Here is a 26,304-nt window from a genome sequence, read left to right on the forward strand (position 1 = left end):
TGATGTCTCCTTAAACAAGAGGTTCTTAACCTGGAAAAGGGTCTATGATCTTGGATAGGATAGGGGAAAAAAACGTATCTTTACTTTTTTATATCTAGCTGAAATTTGGCTCTTTCTTTTCTTTCTTTCTCTCCCCTCTCCCTCCCCTCCCCTCACCTCCCCTCCCCTTCACTTCCCTTCCCTTCCCTTCTTCCCTTCCCTTCCCTTCCCTTCCCTTCCCTTCCCTTCCCCGACTGAGTTTCACTCTTGTCGCCCAGGCTGGAGTGCAATGGCATGATCTCAGCTCACTGCAACCTGTGTCTCTCAGGTTCAAGTGATTCTCCCACCTCAGCCTGCCGAGTAGCTGGGATTACAGTCATGCACCACCATGCCCAGCTAATTTTGTATTTTTAGTAGAGACGGGGTTTCTTCACGTTGGTCAGGCTGGTCTCGAACTCCTGACCTTAGGTGATCCGCCCGCCTAGGCCTCCCGAAGTGCTGGGATTATAGGCATCAGCCACCACGCCCAGCCAAAATTTAGCATTTTCTGCAATTATGAATATAAACAACAAACCACAGTAGTATTAGCAATTTCTGTGACCATCATCAATAGAAATTAATTACAGATATTTTCAAACCTCATTACAGTCATTGCAGAAAAATAATTTATGTTCATCACTCTTTTGAACATATGGGCATTGTTAGATCTGTTCTAGATCTTGTTATTTAAAGTGTTAATAAAGACAAGTATTTATTATTATATCAAAAACTTGGCTTTTAATATATTTTTATTACTGATTTCCACATAATTATTTTATCTATATAGTTCTGCTAGGTAAAACAATGGCCAACAAAGAAGCCTACACCGTAATCCCCAGTACTTGTGAATATGATCTTATAAATGGCAAAAGAGACTGTGTTTATAATTAAGGTAAGGAAACTGCTGGGGAGATCCCACCAGGTGGGGAGACTATCCTGAATCGCCCAGATGGGCTCATCTAATGTGTTTACAGAAGCAAAGAACCTTTCCCAGCTGTGATCAAAGAGGGCTATGGAAAGGAGTTGATCACCTTTGCAGCCTTTGAAGATGGAAAAAGAGGACCATGAGCCAAGGAATGCGGGTGGCCTTGAGAAGCTGGGAAAGGCAAGGAAACACAGCCTCCCTTAGATCTTCCAAAAAGGAATGCAGCCTTGTCAACACCTTAATTTTAGCCCAGTAAGACCTCTATCAGACTTCTGACCTCTAGAACTGTAAGATAAATTTGTATTCATTCCCCGATTTGTGGTATTTTGGTACAGCAGCATTGGAAAATGAGTATACTTTATTTTACTTTATCCATTTCAAAATATTATTCTGAGAAACTTCACCAGACAAAGCTGCTCAGGCACAAAAAAATATATAGTTTTTAAAAAACCCTGCCTAAGTAGTGTATGCAGCTGTACTTACAAGGAAAACCTTATGTAATTTGACATTGACACCAGTCAATGTCTAGTGGGACCTAAAAGGAAAAACTCTATTTGTTTTCACAATTATCCAGACGCTCCAGTAAAAATTTTTGTAGCAAAATCACAAGTTAAGTTCTCACTCAAGCTTGGCTTTTCCCTCGACTTTCTTTCTCAGTGGTTCTTATTTTTTCTGGCTTCCACCATTTCCAAATTTGGATTACATTCATATAGGCAATTCATTCATGCAGGAATGAGAGCCAAGGGAAGAGTGTTTTTAATCCTTGTGATTGACATTATTACTTTATGAGCCTTCAAATGAACCCAGCAGTTACTAATATATCATGCTAGGGAATTGTAGGAAAATGATAACCCAATAAAGAGGGCATATGGCAAAGGAACCGTGTTTCCCCTTCTCGAGGGTGATTGGGTCTCTGGAGATTTCTTGATTGGCATTCTCGGGATCAATTACTTATCCAGTTACAATATGTTAATGCCAAAACAATTTTTACAATAGTTTTAATTTCATATCTGTTAAATGTAAATAGCACTTTTTGAAGTATTTGACTGACTAAAATTGGTAGTGATATTTAAGTTTTGTCAAGTTCTGGGGAAAGGCCTTATATAATTTAAAAGTGTATTCTTAACTGTTATTTTAGAGTCTATCAGTCAGTTAAAAAAAAAAAACAAATTAGTTGTAATCCAAAAGAATTGTTTCTTTCCTTATGAACAACCACAACCATGAAATAACCAAACCTGAGTCTGTCTTTGTCAACAGCAGCCCAGTCTGTCTGCTGTTAGGCATAATTTGCAGTATACTTCCCAGCAAAACATCCACATCCTCTGGTAGCAAGCAGTTTTGTTTAAAGCACGCACTTGGATCTTAAGAGAATGAAAAATTAAAACTGTCGATGCAAACAATCTAAAATTCCAAATTTTTTATCAGTTTGCTTTTGAAAATATGCATGAAGGAATATAATCATTCTTTCCCAGGAGTAGCTCCTTTGAGTAATGAAAGACAGATGTGCTAAAGATGTCTGTCTCTAGTCCAGGTCGAGAATTATATACAGTGTATAATAAAGTATGATATCTGGATCTTAGACAAAATGCAATGCCAAAACTAGAATGTTGCCAGCTTTCCACTGTGCAAGGTCTAATTTAGTTGATAAATCTGCTTCCCATCCTTCATGGATCTCAATGTATTTTCAGGAATTCAAAAGTAACATTTCTCAGTACTTACGATAAATAGTCATTGTGGCCTCAAGTACATAAAGTTGTATTAAATGACAACTATTTTAACATGGGGGATTTTAGAATATCTTACAGAGAGTTTTCACATATGTGAAAAAAACGTTGTGATGTTAAAATTCAGTTGAAAAAATTCTAAAAATTTAAATTGTGCGTCATAGAGTTTTCAATTACTTTTTCATTGAAGCAATTGCATTTTCCCACACCTGAAAAACATACCTCTAACAGTAACCCTCAGCTGAGACCAGCATTTTATTGGTGTTTTCATATACTAAACAAATCGTAAATGCCTGTGCATTGCAGTGACAAATAGTTTTTTTTGTTTGTTTGTTTGTTTGTTTTTGAGACAAGCTCTTGCTCTGTCACGCAGGCTGGAGTGCAGTGGTGCAATTTCTGCTCACTGCAACCTCTGTCTCCCAGGTTCAAGCAATTCTCCTGCCTCGGCCTTCTGAGTAGCTGGGATTACAGTCACCTACCACCATGCAAGGCTAATTTTTGTATTTATAGTAGAGATGGGGTTTCACCATGTTGGCCAGTCTATTCTCAAACTCCTGGCCTCAGATGATCCTCCCTCCTCGGCTTCCCAAAGTGCTGGGATTACAGGTATGAGCCACTGCGCCTGGCCAACAAATGGTTTTTTAAAAAGGCAGAGAATATTTGCTGGTGATGCAAACGGTTTGCAGTTAGTAAATCTGATTTTCTAAAATTAACTTTAATCTAATAGAGAATGTCATACAATTTCATGCTACTAAAGAAAACCTGTAGGGGTTCACAATAGCCAAAGTGGATTATACTACTACAACATATGTACTCCAAAATGTGTAATAGCACAAACACAATATAAGTTTGTTTTTTATTCATATGAAAGTCCAAGGAGGGTGTATCTTGTCAGAGGGTGGCTCTCTTGCAGGTGGTGATCAGTGAAGCCGGGTTCCTTCTATCTTGTGGCTCCATCATCACCCAAAGCCTTTTCATCATCCACATCCAGTGGGAGGAATGGAAAGAGCCCTTGGAGGTGGTATGTCATCTCCTTAAGGCCTTTCCGCAGAGATTGTACTCATCAGTTCTACTTCAATTTCATTGGAAAGGCAGTCATATGGCTACACCTAGCTGCAGAGGAGGTTGAGAAATGGAGCACAGCCATCTGCCCAGAAATAAAGGGGAGCAGATTTTGTGAGAAGCTCTGCATGGGATAATTTCTAGTATTCAAATCATTTTAGGTTAATTTTCATGGATGTGAGTGAGATATACAGCTTCTTAGAAAAACAATTCATTCTCAGGGGAAAAAAATCCAAAAACCATAGGAAAGCAAAGCAAAAAGTAAAAAATCCCCTCAAGCCCAGAGACAATCACTGTAAACACTTTGTATTATTGTATTATGTATATAAAACATGGATATATTTGGATCTATGCAAAACAGTCAAATTATGCATACCCATTAACCTATGTTTACATTCTCAGGTAGATAATCTTCCCTCTTTTAATTATGAGATGCAATTAAAATCAAACAGGAAACAAGCAAATTTTTAAAAAACACATATATTTTAAAAAGGATATCTTCTGATAAAGTAGTATCTGTTATGGTATTATTTGGCTAATTCTAATTGACTATTCTGGACTTTAATGGCTAAAATAATTCAAAGAGTTGTAGGAATCTTGCTCTCTGAATATACTAAATAAAAAAAGGCATCACCTTGCCACCAAAGGCGCTGGCCTAAAGGGCACTGGGCTTCATGATCCAGGCTCTGCCATCATGAGCCACATGACATTAGCCTCCTGTGTTTCGGTTTTCTTGAGGCCCACGAGATCCAGTTAGATATCTTGCTTTTCTAAAACTTTACAACATATTTGTGAAATAAATCTTCCTCTCTCCCTCTTTTCAGCTTTCAGTACTAAGTATCCTGGATCAAAGAACTACAGGATGATAACATTGCTTTCAGCCGTATCTATTACATGCGATGCCCTGATTCTGTGACAGGCCCTCCACAAAATGCATGATGTGTTCTTTCATAATCTTATAATAACTCTGGAAGGTTACTGGTTTCTATTTCCATCAAAGGACATAAAGCTGAAGAGAGTGAGTAAGTTGCCAAGTCCATACAGCTAACAAGGATGTGATGTAGGGTTTAAATCATATCACTGTGACTGCAAAGCCTGAACTTCACTGTTAAGCATCCCTGTGTTCTTGTCACTCGGTGCCATTGATATTTCCTGGGCAGTAAGAGTGTGTCATAGTCCCAGGAACAACTCTGGTTCTTCTAAGATGTAAGATCAAAATTTCTCTAAAAGGTTGCTGTAGCTTAACTATTTAGTTGTTTTGATACGTGTGTGTGATGTGCGTTGGGTGAATTTTTTTTGAAAAGTTTTTTTCTGATTATAAAAATATATTTTTTCATTTTAGAAAGTTAAGAAAGGGGCCAGGCGCAGTGGCTCATGCCTGTAATCCCAGCACTTTGGGAGGCCGAGATGGGCCGATCCCGTGAGGTCAGGAGTTCGAGACCAGCCTGGCCAACATGGCAAAACCTTGTCTCTACTAAAAATACAAAAATTAGCCAGTTGTGGTGGTGGGTGCCTGTAATCCCAGCTACTCGGGAGACTGAGACAGGAGAGTCACTTGAACCCGGGAAGTGGAGGTTGCGGTGAGCCAAGATTGTGCCATTGCATGCAAGCCTGGGCAACCAGAGCAAAACTCCATCTCAAAAAAAAAAAAAAAAAAAAAAGCAAAGAAAGTTAAGAAAGGGTAGAAAAAGTTATATAATAAACAGTAAGGATCACCCATAATCTCACTACTCAGAGAGATTCCTTGATGACATCATTGTCCACTCCTCAGACCTAGGGAGGAAGGGCAGGTTAGCCTAACTAACATAGTTCCTGCCTGGTCCTTTACAGAAAAAGATTTGTGACATATATCATAAAACATTATGGCAAATATTTTAGCCCAGAGAGTTCAATACTGGGTAGTACTAGTAATCTGAGAGATGTTCAATATGAATTCTTTAGAATGTCTGGTTTAAACTGCACTCTAGTTTGATGGACCTGCCTGGAGTTATCTGCAAAATTTACCAAACTAGCAGAATCAATTGATTTATCTGAAGAGTGACTTGGAATTGTACATTCAAACATTAGAAAATGTCTACCAAATTTTTTTTTGTGTGTGTGTGTGTGTATTTATAGAAGTTAATGTTATGAGGTTGAGCTGTTCTTTCAGCGAGTAATTAGTAATCAGGCCCTATTCTTAAGAACATCATGGTTTATGATAGAAAAATTGCATCGCCATTGAAGAAAATAATGCTTTTTTATTGCATTGACAAGTTGGCATGTGTCCAACTTATCTAAAAATGGAATCATTTAGATGTTAGAGGAGAAGTACACAGGGCTTGTCCAACCTCTTTTCTACTGCTTAACATTGAATTCTGATCTGCTAAGAGGCTATTTCTTTAATTTCCAGGGACAGCAGTAGCATTTCGATACTTTCTGTGAAACCCGGTTGTTAAAAGTATGTCTTCTCTCTCTCTCCCAGTGTTAAGTATAACCAGTAATTGCATGCTTATGTGCATAAACCAACCTCTAATTATGTATTTTAGAGGTTTCACAAATGTTAATAATGATTCCCTGTGGGAAAAAATAAACAAATAATAAAAATACAGTCCCTGATATTCCATCACCATTATAAAATCGGGCTCTACAACTTGCTAACCATGTTGTCACTGACAAGTTACTTGGAACCCACAAAACTTCCTTGTCCTTATCCACAAAATGGGAGAAATAAGTTTACTTGAATAAAAACCGAATACTTGTGAAGCACTTTCACAATGTCTAGTGTGGAGTAAAATATAAATGGAAGCATTTCAGCCTATACTTACGATGACTGATGCAGGTGGCCTTATAAGCCTTTTCCATCTCTGGACATTAAAGTTGGTGATAGATCAATAAATGGTGCAAAGTGTCTTAATCAATGAGTGGGGGAAAGAGTATTACATCTTCTGAATTTCCTTAATGAGAAGAAAAAGCACTGCAATAATCACTAGTGGAAAAGCTACACCTAAAGTCTGCTTCCTCCTTGTTCAAAGTCTCCAGAACTGTAGCATTTTAAGAAAAGGAAGTTAAACTATGAAAGAATGTCTAAAGTGGAAGTATAATTTGTAAAAAACAGAGAGTTACTTTTTTTGAAAATAGGGAAGGCAAATGCTCCAAACATGTTCCTTTCAAGAAGTCAAAAGAGAATGAATGGATACCTGCCAAGTTTTCTGGAATAAAGGAGAAACACAGGCCATGTCTCTGAAATCATGAGATGTATCTTATAATTCATGCTAATGTTATATTCTCTATCTTATTTTTACATTTGTTACCTTCAAGTGTTCTTAAAAATCTCAATGACAAGGTGCACTGTGTGTATTTGAAGGCTTTTTGCCACACTACTGTTTATCAGATGGGAAGCACAGGGGCACAGGAGTTTGTCTACAGTCTACAGACATTATCACTAAGGAATACATTAACATAGGACAGAAAAGAACCTGTCGCCTTGAACAGCATCCAAACAGTCATAATGATAATTTATGGAGTTAATGTGATATTGACAAGTCACTATTAAAATAATCCTTTGGGAAAATTGTTAGATATCTGCCGTAAGGTTTTCTTTCAAGGGAACCAGCGACAACCTTCATCTTAGGAAACTAGTTACGTAATGAAAAGAATGAGGATTTTGTAGTTAATGTATTCCAAACCTAGGTCTGCCATTTACTAGTTGAAGGAAAGTATATAACTTCTCTGAGCCTCTTCACCTACAAATGGGAAAAACAATAAAGAGTTATTTAAAGGATCAGAAATAGTGAGTATAAAATGCTTAGCTTGGAGTGGGGTGTGGTGGCTCGCACCTGTAATCTCAGCACTTTGGGAGGCTGAGGCGGGTGTATCACTTGAGGTCAAGAGTTCCAGACCAGCCTGGCCAACATGGTGAAACCCAGTCTCTACTAAAAACACAAAAATTAGCTGGGCATGGTGGTGCACACCTGTAGTCCTGGCTACTCGGGAGGCCAAGGCAAAAAAAAAAAAAAAAAGAAAAAAATGCCTAGCTTGGTTACTGCATACACTGGATGCTCTGTATAATATAATTATACTTTATAAGGTTTTAAGCATTCATTCATATATTCACTTACTCATTTTGGTAGAATTGTGTGTTGCTGAGACAAAGTGAAAAGTATAGTCTGAATTCCATTCTTGACACACATTTTATTGATATCTACACACGAAAGTTTCTTCAGATAATCAGTATAGATCACAGTTTTCACTGGCCACTAAATAACCCCGAGCAATTTGAAGAATTTGTTATCTACAAAACAATGAGGTTAGAATTCCATTAGGCTGTGTGTGCATGTAGGTCTATCTCAAACTAGTTATTGAGCTTTCAGTATGCAAAAAAAAAAAAAAAGCATCATATTACATCATATTAGCTTACAGAATGAAAAGGGCTGGCATAACATGGAACTATAAAATTGCTGTTTCTAGTGTGTAAGGGGCTCACTTCTAAGGCGGATAAAACAGTAAGTATGCAGGAATGCTAGCGTATTTGTTTTTGAAAGATAGAATAAATGTAGGCTCTAGGAATAGGTAGTCTCAGAGCTTATGAATAAAATGTCAACATAAATGGAATACTTGCTAGAAACATGAAGCCCCCAAACAAAACTCTGCAGTGTCAGCTCCAAAATTGCTATGTAGGAGGAGTCTAAGACCATCTGGGAGGAAGGAGGGCCAAACAGACTTCCCCTGAAGCTTTGTTTACCTGTACATAGATTTTACTCAGGGTGGTGGTGGTGGTGGTGAAGGAGATATGGAGAATGTTTAACCGCAAACACTATCCACCACTCCCACCCAGTGTCCCCTTACAATGTGGATTTTAGAATTGGTTTTATCGTTATATTTGGAACCTGAAGTTTGTTATTTTAATATATATCGAGCACCTTATAAGTAAGGTGCCAGGCAAAGACACAATATCTTTTCCCAGGGGGTACGGGTTCCAGCCTATGGGATAGAGACCTGAAAACAAGTAAGTACAGCGTGTCATAAGCATCCGTCTGGACTTGTTTCTTTCTAACACACTATAAACTGGATGGAAATCAAGTTTCCATCCAGAATAGGCAAGGTAGTTTTCACAGAATTGGGATTGTTGAAATCAATTTGGAAGGAATCTTTCTCCACAGCACAATTTCTGTAAAACAAAGCTAAATTTCAAAGCACATGTTCCCTATAAATATTATCTTCACTAGTAAATTTTAAAAATGACTCAAAATGACAAAAGCTTTGCACATAACTCTCCTGAAAACCCACAGGTTGAAAAAAAAATCACTGGTGCCTTAATATTCCACTGAAAGAAAAAGAAAAATACTTTGGCTGATCACAGCTAATTTAGTTAATAAGGGCCCAATGAAAGCTAAACCTTATTTTATAAAATGCTGAGAATACTGAGTGATTACCATAAGCCAAGACAGCACTGGGTGATTACACACATTACCTTTATCAGAATTCTACAGAATGCTTCTTATACAAATTTATATGTTAAAGCCCCAAATTATTCTTCTCAATGACAGTTTTAATTTCCAGGATTGTCCTTCCCTTCAGCTACCAAGTATCAATCCAAGAGCAGGGCTTAGAAAACAAGGCCCTAAAACATTTAATTTCCTTTTGGTTCTGGTTTTACGTGGGATCACAAATATTTGGCTTAGAATTCATAGCTTCTACTGTGCCTTAAAAGAGTCAAATTCTAATGTGACTCTCTGAAACGTTTTCCAAAGACTTGAGGCTGTCAGTATAATATTGACTAGATAAAGAAATAAACTTTACACAAGTATAAATGTGCTTTTCTCCTTTTGCTAAAAGGTAGTTAGTTCAATGTTACTGGGGTGATAGTAAATAAAAATCAAAGAAAAGGAAAATAAGGAAGAAGTATTTAGTTCAAGAGGAAAATTCTTAATGATATATTGAATAGAACATTTACATCTCAGGTTTAACCAATACCGAATCAAATACATTTAAGATCTCAAGAGATCAAGATTATCCTGGCCAACATGATGAAACCCCATCTGTATTAAAAATACAAAATTAGCTGGGTGCGGTGGTGGGAGCCAGTAGTCCCAGCTACTTGGGAGGCTGAGGCAGGAGAATCGCTTGAACCTGGGAGGCGGAGGTTGCAGTGAGCCAAGATCGCGCCACTGCACTCCAGCCTGGTGACAGAGCGAGACTCTGTCTCAAAAAAAAAAAAAAAATACACCTCAGATCATGTGCTGTAATGAACAGAACTATAGAGGCTGGGTAGCCCAGTCTGCTCACTTTATTGGTGAGGCAGCAAATCCAAAGAAGAGAAGAGTCTCCACAGACTGTGCAGCATGAAGACAAATACAGGTAGAGCTAGAGTACAGTTCTCCACACTCCTTTCCATTGCCTTTTCCACTGGACTTGTTTTTCTTTTTGTTGGTGTATGTGGTATGTATGCAGAGTTCCCAAGGATCACTCTCAAAATGTATGATGCTGGTTATACCTCTGCATTTTCCTTATTCTATTGTTTTTCTCAAGTACCTCTTAACTTCAATAAAGGTCACTCAAGATTACAAAAACATGCTGTCATTTTTCTATAGCAGGAATGCCTTTATTCCATTGGATACTGGAAAATTCTGATTTGTAATGACAATAAGAAATAATTCATTGCAAAGCCAGGATAGAACATGACCAGAGTTTAGTGGGGGGGATGGGCAAGCCAACCTTGGGAATGGCTAAGAGTTGATAAGGGCATAAGCTCAAGAGTATGCTCCCGTTTTTATTAATAGATAGGGGCACACAACTAATAAATAATAAAAGACAATGATTAACTTTTATTAGTTACCAAATGCATAAATTTATTACAGCATTTTATATAACTAACTGTCCTCCCCTTTTTCAGTGTGTTTTCCCTTGGCTTCCTGGACACTTCATTACCGGTTGTTCCATTTTCCCCACAGATTTCTCCCTTCATCTCTCTCCTTCAGGTGCCTCTTCTAGGTACTGCTGAATATTATCTTTCTCAGATGCTCTTATTTCCTACTCTCTCTCTCTCCTTCTCTGTCCTGATTTCTCTAGGAACAATAATTTTGCATATTAAACACCCACGGAGAGCTTCCACTATGTATTTCCAAGGCTTCTCAAACTTTGTGTGTCAAAAGTGAACTCATTTTAGGTCCAAACGTCACCCTCAAGGAAGTGGAGCATAATTCCCCATTTCTTAGGTGTGATCTGTACATAGAGACTTCCTTACAAAGAGCACAGCAGAATAAAGTTGGGGGGAGTGTAAGTTTATGTGGAGAAACCTGACAAACCCGGCCACAGCCTGGTGACCAAGATCAACACCAACAGTGATAAGTCATGATAAGTCATATTGACACATATACCCTTACTATCCTGTCATGAACATGGTACCCTTACTGCCCTGTGATCTCCGGAAACCCATACCTAGACTAATCATGAGAAAAATATGAGACAAATTCCAATCAAAGGACTTTCTACAAAATACCTGACCAGTACTCCTCAACACTAACAAGGTCATCAAAAACAAGGAAAGTCTGAGAAACTGTCACAGCTGAGAGGAAACTAAGGCGACGTGGCAATTAAACAAAACCCACTATCCTAGGTGGGATTCCGGAACAGAAAAAGAGGGATGCTAAATAAAAATTAAGACAATATGAGTAAAGTATGAACTTCAGCTAATTACAATGTATTAATACTGGTTCATTAATTGTAAGAAATGCACCACACTAATATAAGACTTTAATAACAAAGGAACTGGGTGTAGGGTATAAGAAAGCTTTCTGTGCTACCATTAGAATTTTTCTGTAACTCGAAAACTATTCTAAAATAAAAATTTTATTTTTAAAAAATTTATCTTGTTGCCTTCCCAGCCTTTTTACTCGTCTTATGTTCCGTATTTCTGCCCATGTAATTATGATGGAGCAAGTGGGGCTTTGCCCCAAGCATCCACGTTTATAAGGCATACAGATGTTAGTGAATGAAGTTTTATTAATTCTGAAATTTAACATCTAAGTTAAATTACACCTCAATAAAAAAAAATAGTTAAAATAGAAAACTTCCAGAGAGTCCCTATTGTTAACAACAAAAATCTGGGTACCATACCATGAAATACAGAGTTGATTAGAGGCAATCCAGAGTGGAGAGGTCAAAGTGGACCCACTCTGATTCTGATTCAGAAAATGGTAAATTTATTTCTCTATAACTCAACTGGACTGACTCATTAGGACCACCTCACAGGGCCTTCTGCCTCTTTTGCTTGCCATTTTACATTCATTAGTTTCTCCAATTAAATTCTACACTCATCTCCCTGGTTAAATAAGTGCCTATTAAATACATACACAGTCTTCACCTTTTTCTTCTTTCTACTTGTCTTCTCAGATATAATGTCTCAAGCAGGCTCAGTGACCTGTTGCATGAAGTAGCACCTGGTCTGCCACCCTCCCCTGTCCTGGTGGCCCCTGCTGTGGTCTGGATGGACCCAGTTGGTCACAAACATGCTGAGCCTGTGTTCATACCATGAAGCACTGCTGAATTCATCTGTTCTCTCAGGTTCTGTACTTCTCCCCTGCTGACCTCCCAGTGGTGGCCTCTAGTGCTGGTGTTCTTCTCACTCTTCAGCCTCTGCTTCCTGATCTCTGCTCTTTTCCAGTTCTCTTACCACATCCACATTACTTCCAGGACATACAGAAACTTCCAGAACCCTTGCACTCCAAATATAGGCCCTGGAAACCAAGAATAGTATCTCAGGCCCATATACTTAAACCTCTTCTTTAACATGGGCAATTATGATTTCATCCACTGCTGTATTTCCAGGTTGCCATGTTGCTCTAGAATGATGCTGAATGCAAACGTTCCTGAAGGGGCCACGCCATAGGAAAGGAGGAGAAAATCCTCTGGCTTTGGGGTTATTCCAAAGCTATTGGGGTTCTTCTACCACTGTGACTGTCATCAGTAAGTCCCTCTTCACCTTTGTAAGAGAGCAGCGGAGCATGGACTAGATTCCCCAAATTGGTCAGCTTTCTTTCTTGTCTTCATGCTTCACTGTGCTCACGTGCTCTCTCTGTCCTTGTTCTCATTCTCCTCTCCCCCTAGACTCGACTTGTTCTCATTCTCCTCTCCCCATGACTCGATTCCTCCCCTCAGACATAGAAAGGACTGGAATTGCTCTCACTTATGTCATAGCCATATCCTTCCCTACTCTGTAGTTATATTAAATCTTCATGCATTTGGGGAGGCCTAGGAAGGAGAATCATTTGAACCAAGGAATTTGAGAGCAGCCTGGGCATCGTGGTGAAACCCCACCTTTACAAAAAATACAAAACTTAGCCAGTTGTGGCAACAGGCACCTGTAAGTCCCAGCTACTTGAGAGGCTAAGGTGGGAGGACTGCTTGAGCAACCTCCACAACAGCAACCTCTGTTGTGGAGGTCGTGCTTTAGTCCTCTGTATATGACTTAATATTCAAAGCCTAGATTTGGAAATTCTGGAAAAACCCTTTTATTGCTCATTAAGCCAGGCTCTTACAAATAATAAAAAAAAACTTCTTTTGAGATTATCATCTCACCATAGACTTCAAAAATACCTATTTTGAAATTCAAAACAGAACATTGATTTCTTTGGTCTTGGCAGTGTCTGCCCTCTGCTGCCCTTGGAAATAAGATCAGGCTTAAGTCTGAATCTTCACAGCAGAAGGGCTGCCAGGGACAAACCTTCATTACTCAGAGGAATAATGCAATAGGTTATACTTAAGCTATTATATTATCCCAAAATAAATGTCTTTATTCTCCTTGGCGCAGATTCCAGCAATGAAGGTGATGGCTTTGGACGGAACTCCCATTGTCCTAGTTACCAAGGCAAGTAACAATGACATTTTGTTTAACTGCTTTCTCTGATTTCATATTCAATTAAATATCAAGTATTGTCAATTCCATCACTATACTTTTCCAACCACTTTTCCCTCCTCCCAGTTTCCATTAATTCTCCCCTTACTTCTCACCTAGAAGTCTTTACACCTTCAGTTTCTTTCAGAGATTCTTTCTTCAGGTTTGGAACGTGCAACTTGGGGTGCTGTAAACCTTAGATCCAATTCTACCTCTACATTTGCTAGTTTGTGAATTTGAGCAAGTTTTTAAACCTATATTTCCTCGCCCTTATAAGGCTCTCAGGAGGACAAAATAAGATAATGCATCATGGTGTCTAGTGCAGAGCAAGGCAAATGGTTGCCATTATTATTATTATTATTCTGCTTAAATGTCAAAATGTTTCATACAATCCATGAAAGAGATCGACATTAAAGGCAAGGTAGGCTTCAGAAAAGTGTAGCTGTGGGGAAAGATCATGCACATGGGTGTCAGCGGAAGCACAGAGTTGTAAGAAAACAAGTGGAAGCAGACAGGGTCAGGGAGGAAGGGAGAGAAATGTTGAAGAGGTGGACTCAGAATTGGTATTTTATTTCACAGGCATTGAAGAGATGTTTCCTTTATACAACAATGTTGTGCATGTGTAGTGTAAGTGTGTGTGTGTGTGACTCTAAAATTAAAAATAAAAGCAGGAGGTTAGAAAGATAGCAAAAATGAATGGTTCCAACAATTAAACATGCTTACATTTTCTAAATATGAAGCAAACTTCAGATTTTCTAAAAGAGATAAATCCTTACAGATGAAGGTGAACTATCAAAATCTCCCCACCTCATTCTATCCACAAAATATTTCATTTAATTTGTATGTAATGTCTGTTAAATATTTTAATTTTTTTAACCTTAATTTTATCTTTGCAATTAGGCCCTCCTGCCTTCAAATACGTTTACTGTTAACAACAAAAAGAGAGAAAGAGAGACATATGTCAAAACCCAAGAGAAAGGGAGAAAGAAATTGCCAGCAGAATAAGATTTGGAAAAAGCCAGGGATAAAATCTTAAGGATGAGAGGCATGAAAAGAAAATATGCTTACACAAAATGACAATAAATGAACACACGTACTTAGAATAAACATTCGATGACTGCCCCACCCCCAGACAACAAATAACCCAAATAGAGGAATAAGACATACAATTAGTCAAGTAAGAAACTGAATCCATTTCACATTCAGAAGCAAAAGGCTCCAAGTGAACATGGTTCATTGACAGTCATGTTGGGAAGAATTCATGATTCAGCTCATCAGGTGATCAATTGCCAAGCTCTTAGCAGAAAAGAATTGTACCTTATTTATTGTATCACCTCCAGTTACCAATACATCATTGGCCTTCAGTAAACTTATTGAACTAAACTAAATGAAATACCTGAGAGTTAGAGAATATGAACTCTGGCCATGGGAGTGAGCTGACTTTTCACCACCGTTTGAAAACAGGTCTATATTATCCTCCCTCAGCTAATTGATACCGTAGAAGTGGTTGAGGTGAGTCTTGCATCACTTTACATTCTGACTGAGGAAAGTTTATAGGCTTGTTTTTTCTTTTGTTGGCCCTCCTTTGTAAAGATAATTTATCACGACTTTAAATGAGCTCAAGGTTCCAGTTGTTTCCTTCTGCTCAGGTTATCAGAAGCTGCACAAAGTGGTCTGGTACTTGGGACACTTTGTTGTCCCAAAAAGACGATATTCAAAGTCTGGTTCTACTAACTCTATTCTCCTTCCTATAAGATCCTTCCTAAGAGACCGTCAGCTGTTCTGCAAGGAGTTCAGAATTACTAATGATGGATGACTGAAGAAAATGAAAAAGGTTGAGAATGCTAGGATAGGCAGATTAATAAAAATTAAAAACTTCAAATAATGTTTTGTATCTTTTGCCCCATGTCCTCCAGGTTGTTAATTACCTGTTTCAGTGTACAAGAAAAATAGGACCTATCTCCCGGTGGATGAGCATCCTTTAAACCTTTATGATGCACTTGAATTACAGCTATTAATAGCGAGCTCATGGAAGAATGAGTAAGACATTCCTACTCATTAAAGTTCTCCCAAATGATACATCCTAAACTTTAAGTTCCTTAAGTGGCTGTAACTTTCCATTAATTAAAAAGGAACAAAGTTTCCTTTTTAAAAAATTTCTAGGAAATGGGGCCTTGAAATTCATCTTCTCTGAAAAAAATGGTCAATTCCTTTGTGACTAATTATCTAAGGTATTTTTCTCTTTCCTTTTCTTCTCTGTCTCCCATTATTGGAGTGGAAGAAAGAGTGTGAGTAGAGTCGTCCTCTCCTTTATTTCTAGGCTTCTCCAGGAGTTTATATGGATCAGTGAAGACTAGTAAGGATTCAAAAAATGTGAAGACATAACGAGTGTTGAAACCATTATTATTTATATCTTTTTTGCTACTGCTGTTACCTTGCTAATTTCCATTTCACATGTTAACTTTCCATTTTCAGTCAGTGGTTTTCACGTGCTCAAAAGTCTTAGTTTCTTTCAATGCTCAGTGTTAAATATCAGATAAGTAAAAAAAGTTCTTAAATTTACATGGAGGTAAAAATAAATTAGTAAAGAACGGCCGGGTGCCGTGGCTCACACCCGTGATCCCAGCACTTTGGGAGGCCAAGGCAGGTGGATTGCTTGAGGTCAGGAGTTCGAGACCAGCCTGGCCAACATGGTAAAACTCCATCTCTACTAAAATTATACAAATTAGCTGGGCATGGTGGTGCATGCCTGTAGTCCCAGCTATGTTGGGAGGCTGAGGCACGAGAATTGTTTGAACCCAGGAGGCAGACGTGGCAATGAGCCAGGATCACAGCACTGTACTCCAGCCTGGGTGACAGAGTGAAACTGTCTCAAAAAATAAAATAAAATAAAATATAAAATAAAATAGTAAAGACCGAGGGGGAGAGGTCTGCTCCTTGAAGAACTATCAAACACATTTTGGGGATGTCTTCATCCAAGGACAACTCTGATTACCTGGATTTTTCACCAGAAAGATCTAAAGAGAAAATCAAATTTTATTATTTATTTTTTGCAACTTCTATTTTGGATTCAGGTTTGTGCAGGTTTGTTACATGAGTGTATTGCATGATGCAGAGATTTGGGGTACAAATGATCCTGTCACCCAGGTAGTGAGCATAATGCCCAATAGTTTTTCAGCCCATGTCCTCCTCCCAGTAGTCCTCAGTATCTGTTGTTCCCATCTTTATGTCCACGTGTAATCAATATTTAGCTCCCACTCATAAGTGAAACATGTAGTTATTTGCCTTTCTGTTTTTGCATTAATTTGCTTAGGTTAATGGGCTCCAGCTGCATCCACGTCAATGCAAAGGACATAATTTCTTTCTTTTTTATGGCTGTCTAGTATTCCATGGTGTATATATACCACGTTTTCTTTACCCAATCCACTGTTGTTGGGCACCTAGGTTGATTCCATGTCTTTCCTATCGTGAATAGCGCTCTGATGAACATTTGAGTGCATGTGTCTTTTTGATAGAACTATTTATTTCGCTTTGGGTATATACTCAATAATGGGAATGCTGGAGCAAATAGTAGCTCAATTTTAGGGTCTGCAAACCTAGTTTTCTTAGTTTGAAAAGCAGTTATATAATTTCATTATTATTCAGTTTGTAAATCTGGAATCATTTCTCAATAGGATGATAGTGTGTTTAAAAAAAAAAGACAATCTTCACATTTAAATTCTAATCTGCTGGGCTCTTAAAAAAGCCCAGTTCAATTTGTTTTGTTTTGCTTTCTCACACAGCTGAGATACCACAGCTTTGTAGCATCTACAAAAGATTATTAAGGTGAACTGAGAAAGTTGGTGATTGGAAAGGATAACTTTCCAGTTTTATTTTTATTCAGATTGCTGATTGATTAGGCTGCAGCACAACCTGAAATTTGGAGGAGATGAGGTTGGTCACTGTGTAGGTTGAAGGAATCCTGCAGAGAAAATGAGTAAAAATCAGAGCCCAAACCAAATCCACGTGTTTTCTATGCACTAATCCCCAGGAGCTTTAAATACATAAAACATGTGGAAAGACATAATCAAGTAGCTATAAATTCCATCATAGAAGTTTTCCAGTGGAACTAGGCAATCAGTCCATTCAAAATAAACCACAACAGGGATTCTTGATGGTGGAAAACATTACAAATAACTTGCAAGCTGGCAAGAAATTACAGCCAATAAGTGTGCTCTAAGAATAGTAGATACCTATAATAAATGATTTCCAAAGGAAATTCCAGTTATTAGAAGAAGGCCAACAAAAGATGTGGGGATGACTTTAGTTCCAGCATGCTCTGTTTCTCTCCACTGGCTTGTGTTGAAAGGAAGAACTGTTTTTTAATTCCCCATTTCAAGTAGTTCCCATGCTTTAATATAGTCAGAAAATGTACATGTTTTCCCCATAATGTAAAAGAGGGCCTCATTCTTTAAGAAAAGAATGGGAATTTCAAACAATTATTACCATTAGCATGTCTAGAGAAGATCATATTTCTATACCTTGAAAGACACATCCACGGAGTTTATAGATGAAGTCAGGTGGTAGAAATAAGGACTAGTCCTTTAAGAAATATAGGCATATGGCCGGGCGTGGTGGCTCATGTCTGTAATCCCAGCACTTTGGGAGGCTGAGGCAGATGGATCACCTGGGGTCAGGAGTTTGACAGCAGCCTGACCAACATGGCGAAACCTCATCTCTACTAAAAATTCAAAAAATTAGCCGGGCATGGTGGCGGGTGCCTGTAATTCCAGCTACTTGGGAGGCTGAGGCAGGAGAATCGCTTGCACCCGGGACATGAAGGTTGCAGTGAGCCAAGATCGCAACACTGCACTCCAGCCTGGGAAACAAGAGTGAAACTCCGTCTCAAAAAAAAAAAAAAAAAAAAAAGAAAGAAAGAAAAGAAAAAAGAAATATAGGCATATAAAGCATACATTTGCTTTGATTGCCCACTAACAGGCCCTGGGGATTTGAAGTCAGACAAGACCCTGGCCTTTCCATCAGTGATTATTCCTGAGTGGAGGATGGGGACAAATACGTATGTTGTCATGTCGCCATATCATTTGTGCAATAAGAGAGGCAGGCAAAAAAGCTCTAAGGAGAGACATCTAAAACACAGTGGGAGGCAAATTGCTTAAACTCCTGTGACCTGGATTTTCTCATCTGAAGAATAGAAACAAGGATAACCAGACTGTGGAAATATTGAAAGGATCAGATGAATCATATTATAATGAAGAATACCATACAAATGTGATCTATTGTTAATATACTTCTTAAACAGGGGTGTCCAATCTTTTGGCTTCCCTGGTCCACATTGGAAGAAGAAGAATTGTCTTGAACCACACATGAAATACACTAACACTAACAACAGCTGATGAGCTAAAAAAAAAAAAAAAAATCACAAAAAAACTCATAGTGTTTTAAGAAAGTTTACAAATTTGGCCAGGCACGGTGGCTCATGCCTGTAATCCCAGCACTTTGGGAGGCCGAGGTGGGAGGATCATGAGGTCAGGAGATCGAGACCATCCTGGCTAACACGGTGAAACCCCGTCTATACTAAAAATACAAAAAATTAGCCAGGCGTGGTGGTGAGCACCTGTAGTCCCAGCTACTCAGGAGGCTGAGGCAGGAGAATGGCATGAACCCGGGAGGCGGAGCTTGCAATGAGCTGAGATGGTGCCACTGCACTCCAGCCTGAGTGACAGAGTGAGACTCAGTCTCAAAAAAAAAAAAAGTTTACAAATTTGTGTGGGGCTGCATTCAAATCCATCCTGGGCCGCATGCAGCCTTTGAGACGTGAGGTGAATTGGACAAGCTTGTTCTAAGATAAAAAGCCTTTAATATGTGCTAAGCACTGTTATTAGCTATTTACATATATAAATCAATCCTCTCAACCACCCTATGAGGTAGATACTATTGTTAGTACTTCACAAATGAGGAAACTGAGGCCCAGAAAGATTAGGTAACTTCTGCACAGTTACACAGCTAAGTTTCAAACCCAGGCATCTGGCTCCAAGCAGAGAATTTACATTGATGTTATTGATGCTTAAGCTTTGGGACTTCTCCTTTGCCTGTGCCACACCAAGACTCTAGGTGGGGTCCCAGTAGTATCTTCATATGGCCATATGTACTTGTAAAATTTGCAAAAGTAAGACATTTTATCCAATTAGTTCAGAATATTCTCCTTTTTGATCCAACTTCAGATCCCTCATGTTTCCCCCCTTGCCAGGTAGAGTTGGAGTAAACATGTCATTTTTGAAATACAGCTAAGGGCTAGTTGAGTTGATGTTGATGACACATTCACTTTGGATTTAGTGAGATCTCTTTATGTAGCTTGCAGTCACTCCCATGACTGGTTGTTGGGGAGGCCTCACATGCTAGTGAGGGTAGAGACAGAATCCAGAGGTTTGTCTGACTCTATTGAAAATTCTCTGTACCCTACACTCCTTTCATGTGTTCAGTAATCCATAAACAGTTTTCTTAATTCTTTCTTTAACTGAGAGGCATGATAGTCTATCCTCAACCACCAACAGCATTTGGCACTACAACTCGTGTCCGACCTGGCTTTAACACACCTTTCTAGGTTATGTCCCCTCTAGATCTCCCTTTACACCATGCTCCAGCCAAAGGGCACTTCTTCCTTTGCTGGGCCATGCTCTTTGCTCTTGCTTAGGCGTTTATTAACTTTCTTGCTGACATGGCACGAAATCTGACATTAGCAAAGATAACATACACTCCTAATTCACCATAAAAAACATCAGCGTCACACTGGTTAGTGGGCGTTAGCATTTAAAATAAGTCAATAGACAAGAAAACTTGAAATGCCAGAAATCTTACAGCTTATATATAAAAAAGGAACTAGAGTTTTTTTTAGATTTGATGAAGATTCTAAAAATACATATGGCATTATCAATAATGGAGTTTGAAGCTGAAAGTTTTCTAAACTATCAGTAACTATAAATATTGGCTAATAATATTAACCCCTCACAATGGTGGAAAGACAGAATTTGCATACTATTCTTGCCAAAATAGTGATATAAAAGTTGTTATAGGCCAGGCACAGTAGCTCACACCTGTAATTCCTTTAGGAGACTGAGGTAAGAAGATTGCTTGAGGTCAGGAGTTCAAGACCAGCCTAGGCAACATAGTGAGAACCCCATCTCTACAAAAAAAAAATGTTGTTACGTGCAGCACAAATTACAGTAGAAGTAGTATAAGATGTATCAGCAGTTAATAAATAAAATATTTTTTCTGGATTTTCTGATTTGGAGAAAGTCTTTGAAAACTGTAATGTTATTTGTTTTGTAACCTTTTATAAATATTTGTTTCATACCTAATGTTTTTTTCTATCCTTAAAGAGAGTTCCACAAAATGTATAACATTTAGGACTGGCCAGGCATGGTGGCTCACACCCGTAATCCCAGCACCTTGGGAAGCTAAGTCGTGAGGATTGCTTGAACTCATTGTTCCAGACCAGTCTGGACAGCATAGCAAGACCCCATCTCTAAAAAAATAATTTTAAAAATGAGCTGGGTGTGGTGACATATGCCTGTAGTCCCAGCTATTCAGGAGGCTGAGGTGGGAGGATCACTTGAGCCCAGGAAGTCAAAGCTGCAGTGAACCATGATTGCGCCACTGCAACAGAGCAAGACCCTGTCTCAAAAACAAACAAACAAACAAAAAAAACAGGACCAAAAAAACTTGGGTTTGTCTCGTGGTTTTTTCCCTAACCCGTTCCCCCAATCCATTTTCCCTAACTCATTTTTTCCTAACCCAATAGCTTTTGGTTTAAGCTGTTCTGATAGTTACATACTGCTTTGAATGAACATATTGCTTTGTTATATGAATTTTGAGTAGTTACATTGATGCTTTAAATGAACCAGAGGGAGACAGGAGCACAGACTGGATAGAGTTCTGCTGGGAGTGACCAAGCTGTGTAGTCCTGCCTCTAGACAGCTGTGTGTGTCTTGAATCCTAGTGCCTCCTTCCTCTAGGTAAGTAAAGTAGTGCCTTCCACTGCATGGTCTGCGGTGATTGTTCTTGGCTCTGGGTTCTGCGGGCCTCTGACAACTATATGAAAAATATTCTTTCTCTTTACTCTGTTATTTTTAGTTTGGCTAATAGGAAATGAATGTGGTTATTTGAAGAGCAGAAAGCAAATAACCAATGATTTCCTGCCTTACGCCTTAAATTTGCTTATCACTCTATTACCTGCATCATTGAGGCTTCCTCCTTATCAGTATTACTAAGTATTAAATATATTAGTCAGTTAGACAGAAACTCTAACAAAATCAATTGCTGCGAGTTAAAGAAAAGCAAAGCAAGTTTCTGGGGCCAAAGGAGCCCAAGCAAAAATCAGAATGCAATAGTAAATGTGGCTCTGGGAAGTAACAAGCCAGGCTGATGGATTACTTTACACCTAAAGCAAAATTATCACCATCAGAGACCTGGCCATCCCAAGTAACAGCTTAGGTCTGTGGTTCTCAATGTCAACTGAATATTAGAATCACCTGGACTTTAAAAACTAAAGTGTCCTGCCCCGCTCCCTTCTGAGAGTCTGATTGCGTTTCCCAGGTGATCCTATGTGCAAATAGATCTGAGCACCTCTGGTCTAGGTGTTAAGCTTTCTGGGGCAGCGGAGAGGCTGGATGCTTATAAACCTTCTCTTAAACAAAGGCTAATATCAGAGCTGGATCCATTTAGTAAAAGAATTCAGTTAAATATAGCTCTCCCAGAAGGAAAAGTATTTTAAGCTATTATTAGTCATTTATACTTTAGTGCAACTCTGTTCAACAAATAGAAGCTTCTGTGATGATGGAAATGTTCTATATTTGTGCGTCTACTTTCTTAGTCCACTAGCCTCATGTGTCTATTGAGCACTTGAAATGGGGCTAGAACAACCGAGTGACTGAATTTTAAATTTCGTTTTAACTCATTTAAATTTAAATCGTTGCATGTGGCTAGTGGCTACCATGTTGGTCAGTGCAGTTCTCGTGTAAATGGGTAATGAGTAAAGTGATAGAGTAGGGGTTACTGTATGCCCGAGGAGAGGAGTGAGAAGGAAGCCTGAGGATGGAAAAAAAGGGAGTAAATGAGGTCAGGTTCACTATGAAAACTCCATAGGAAGAGCAGAGGAGAAGCTATAGCAAAATGTGGCTTTGGGAACGCCTATCATTCTTGGTGCCACCCCAAAATAATGTTGAAGAGAAATTTTTGAGCTAGGGACTTTGGCTCTGATCTGCCCCACCTCTCTTCTACAGACTAGTGCCTGACCAAATAGTAAAGCTCACAGAAGCTCTTGCTGCTGGGAACTGTTGCTAGGAAAGCAGCAAGGAGAAGTGGAAAGAGTAAGACACTGGTGCTTACAAGCCAAAAAAAAAAAAAAGTCACCTGGTATCTCGGAATCACTGTTGCTTCATAGCACAAGTGGTAAGATGTGAGTGTCTACTCAGTGCCATTCAACACATCTGATGTTGCCAAATCAAATCAGACTATAGATGGAAGCCCCTTGGACCTTAAGAGAACCACTGAAATTATTGATTATTCCTGTGGAAAGAGCTGATCCCACTTAAATACTACCCCTTCAAGAGGTATTGTGAAAGAACTTCCATAGGTGCATGGGTGATTCAGTGGTAGAATTTTCACCTGCCATGCAGGAGGTCCAGGTTCATTTCCTGGCCTATGCAACATGGCATCCCATTTTGGCTGGGCGTGGTGGCTCACACCTGTAATCCCAGCACTTTGGGAGGTCGAGGCAGGCAGATCATTTGAGGGCAGGAGTTCGAGATCAGCCTGGCCCACATGGTGAAACCCTGTCTCTGCTAAAAATTAGCGGGTCCTGGTGGCACACGCCTATAGTCCCAGCTACTCAGGAGGCTGAGGCGTGAGAATCGCTTGAACCTGGAAGGCAGAGGTTGCAGTGAGCCGAGATTGCACCACTGCACTCCAGCCTGGAGGACAGAATGAGACTCTGTCTCCAAAAAAACAGAGAAAAAGAACTTCCAGGCCAGGCGCGGTGGCTCACGCCTATAATCCTAGCACTTTGGGAGGCTGAGGCAGGTGGATCACGAGGTCAGGAGATCGAGACCATCCTGGCTAATACGGTGAAACCCCGTCTCTACTAAAAATACAAAAAATTAACCAGGCATGGTGGTGGACGCCCGTAGTCCCAGCTAGTCGGGAGGCTGAGGCAGAAGAATGGCGTAAACCCGGGAGGCAGAGCTTACAATGAGCTGAGATCATGCCACTGCACTCCAGCCTGGGCGACAGAGCGAGACTCTGTCTCAAAAAAAAAAAAAAAAAAAAAAAAAGAATTTCCAGAGGCATGAAGAACATGATGTCTGTAGACGTCAAGACTGGAAGGAATTTTCTAAGCATAAATCTTGGTCCTATGATGTTACAGGCCGAAAGAATGAGGGTCGTGATCAACTCAGTATACCACTGGAGGCTATATGAGTAAGCAACAAAACTGTTTCTCATAAATGCAGAATTGTGACAAACTGACAAAACTGCATCTGCCATCCAGAAGGAATGCTGAGGGCAGTCATGCCCCAAGCGCAGTGTTTCTTGTGATTAGGTACATCTGAAGCCTGTTAGTAACAATATGAACGTGTGATCAATTAAGCAGCTGACCAGTTGTTACCTCCTTCTCCTCGCTTTTGTTACCCAATAAATAGGAGGGGCTGTGGAAGCTCAGGGGTGCCTTTGCTCACTGGAAGTGGGGAGCTCTCTTCTTCTTCCCCGGCTTCCCTTCCTTTAAAACAGTTTCTTTTGTTTTTTGTTATAATTTCTAAGTTCGTCCCTTCGTTCAGTTTGTAATGACGGTCTCAGGCAGTAACAACAGTAACTGCTATAATGACCGTCTCAAGTAGTAACCGTGGCAGTCGGCCACATTATGACAGAGCCTATGGCAGGCCAGTCAGTAACATTTTGTAGATGGCTACCTACACTATTAATTCTCATGAACTGTTCTTTGCCTCTAGTCTTTACCCTATTCCAGAACTAGCGAGTTGATTGCATCAGTCTCTGAGTAACATTTTTTAAAACTTGACAATATGCATTGACAAGGAGTTTATCTAGTTAAATAATTCCTATTTAAATACCTGGTTAATGATATTTGGGTCTTATATCTACCCTCAAATCAATTTTATATTTTTAATGACACTACAGGTCAATTCCTTTTAAGAAAAATTGGCAAAGAAATATTTTTATGTTTTATTTGGATAATGGTCCCAGAGAGCCCTGGCACACATTTTGACAGAGTGAAAAAGGTTCAGGAAAAAACCCACAAGCATAATGAAAACAGAGGGGAAAGGTAAAATCAACAGTAAGTCTTGGATAGAAGTGAAAGTGTGACCATTTGCAATAGCAAAGAGTATACCTGGCTGTCTTTCACAATTCACCTAAGGAGTTGCTCACGGATCTTGCATGGTGGCTTGAACTCTAGCATATTCCTTCTGATCCTGACCGAACAGCAGTCCTCCTCAGTCTCAAGAGCCTCACATTACATGTGTGAGGCCCAGTCCCAAACCAAGGATCTAGAGTCCTTAGGTGCAGCACCCTTCCTACTTGCTCTTTCTGATTCCAGAACTCTGACCTCTTCTTCCTCAGTTCAGTAGGGCCACAGTTTTCTTTCTGGTTGCATTCTACCTCTTTGTGCTCAGAAAATTTTCTCCAGGCACAGAGCTAGCATGAAGTGAGAGTCATCTCGTGAGATTCTCTTCTGTTAGGGATTAAAGGCTTGCACTGTCAATGTCCAAAGTCCACTGTCTGGAAATCATTGCTTCACATATTTTGTCCAATCTTTTAGCTTTATGTTTTGTATGGGTAAAAGTGAAAGTCATTCCTGTTTGATAAGATTTTTAACAAATCCTTGCAATGTTTATAAGAGACACATCAAAATACATTGAATATAATAAAGAGATAGAGAATGATAGACTAAAAAAAAGACTACCAAGCAAAGCTATTGAAGCCTTATTGGCCGGGTGCAGTGGCTCACACCTGTAATCCCAACACTTTGGGAGGCCAAGGCAGGCAGATCATGGGGTCAGGAGATCGAGACCATCCTGGCTAATATGGTGAAACCCCGTCTCTACTAAAAATACAAAAAAAATTAGCCAGGCGTGGTGGCAGGCACCTGTAGTCCCAGCTACTTGGGAGGCTGAGGTGGGAGAATGGCGTGAACCCGGGAGGTGGAGCTTGCAGTGAGCTGAGATCGTGCCACTGCACTCTAGCCTGGGTGACAGAGTGAGGCTCTGTCTCAAAAATAAATAAATAAATAAATAAAGCCTTATTAATAAAATATACATTCCAGCAGCATAATGATAAGCAAAAGGATTACTTATATATTGCTAACAGGAAAAATTTATAGGAAAATACGACAAAGATGAACTTGTATGAGCTTAAAAACATAGCCCCCAAATGCAAAAACAAAATATTTAAACACATAGAGAAATTCCATCAGAGTTGGACATTTTAGCCTACCTCTTCCAGTAATTAATTGATATGAACCTATATTATTTGAAAAATATGATTTATAAGCTTTATCTAATGAACAGATGCACAACTCTGCACCCAGTAATTGAGGGTACACAGTCTTTACAAACACACATGGAATATATATAAATATTGAACACTTAATAATTCACAGTAAGTTTTATCAAATAATATAATCATTTATATATATT

General features: G+C 39.2%; 1 long non-coding RNA gene across 1 annotated transcript; it reads right to left on the reverse strand.

The window, feature by feature from the left end:
* Positions 1–10,509: 10,509 nt before the first annotated feature.
* On the reverse strand, positions 10,510–25,513 carry LINC02919 (long intergenic non-protein coding RNA 2919). The gene is made up of 2 exons (XR_001744395.1): positions 24,999–25,513; positions 10,510–12,443 (listed from the first exon to the last, which is right to left on the reverse strand). It is a non-coding gene; the product is annotated as a long intergenic non-protein coding RNA 2919 (long non-coding RNA).
* Positions 25,514–26,304: the final 791 nt, after the last annotated feature.

This window comes from Homo sapiens, chromosome 6 (assembly GCF_000001405.40).
Source record: "Homo sapiens chromosome 6, GRCh38.p14 Primary Assembly".
In the NCBI taxonomy this organism is placed as follows: Eukaryota; Metazoa; Chordata; class Mammalia; order Primates; family Hominidae; genus Homo; species Homo sapiens.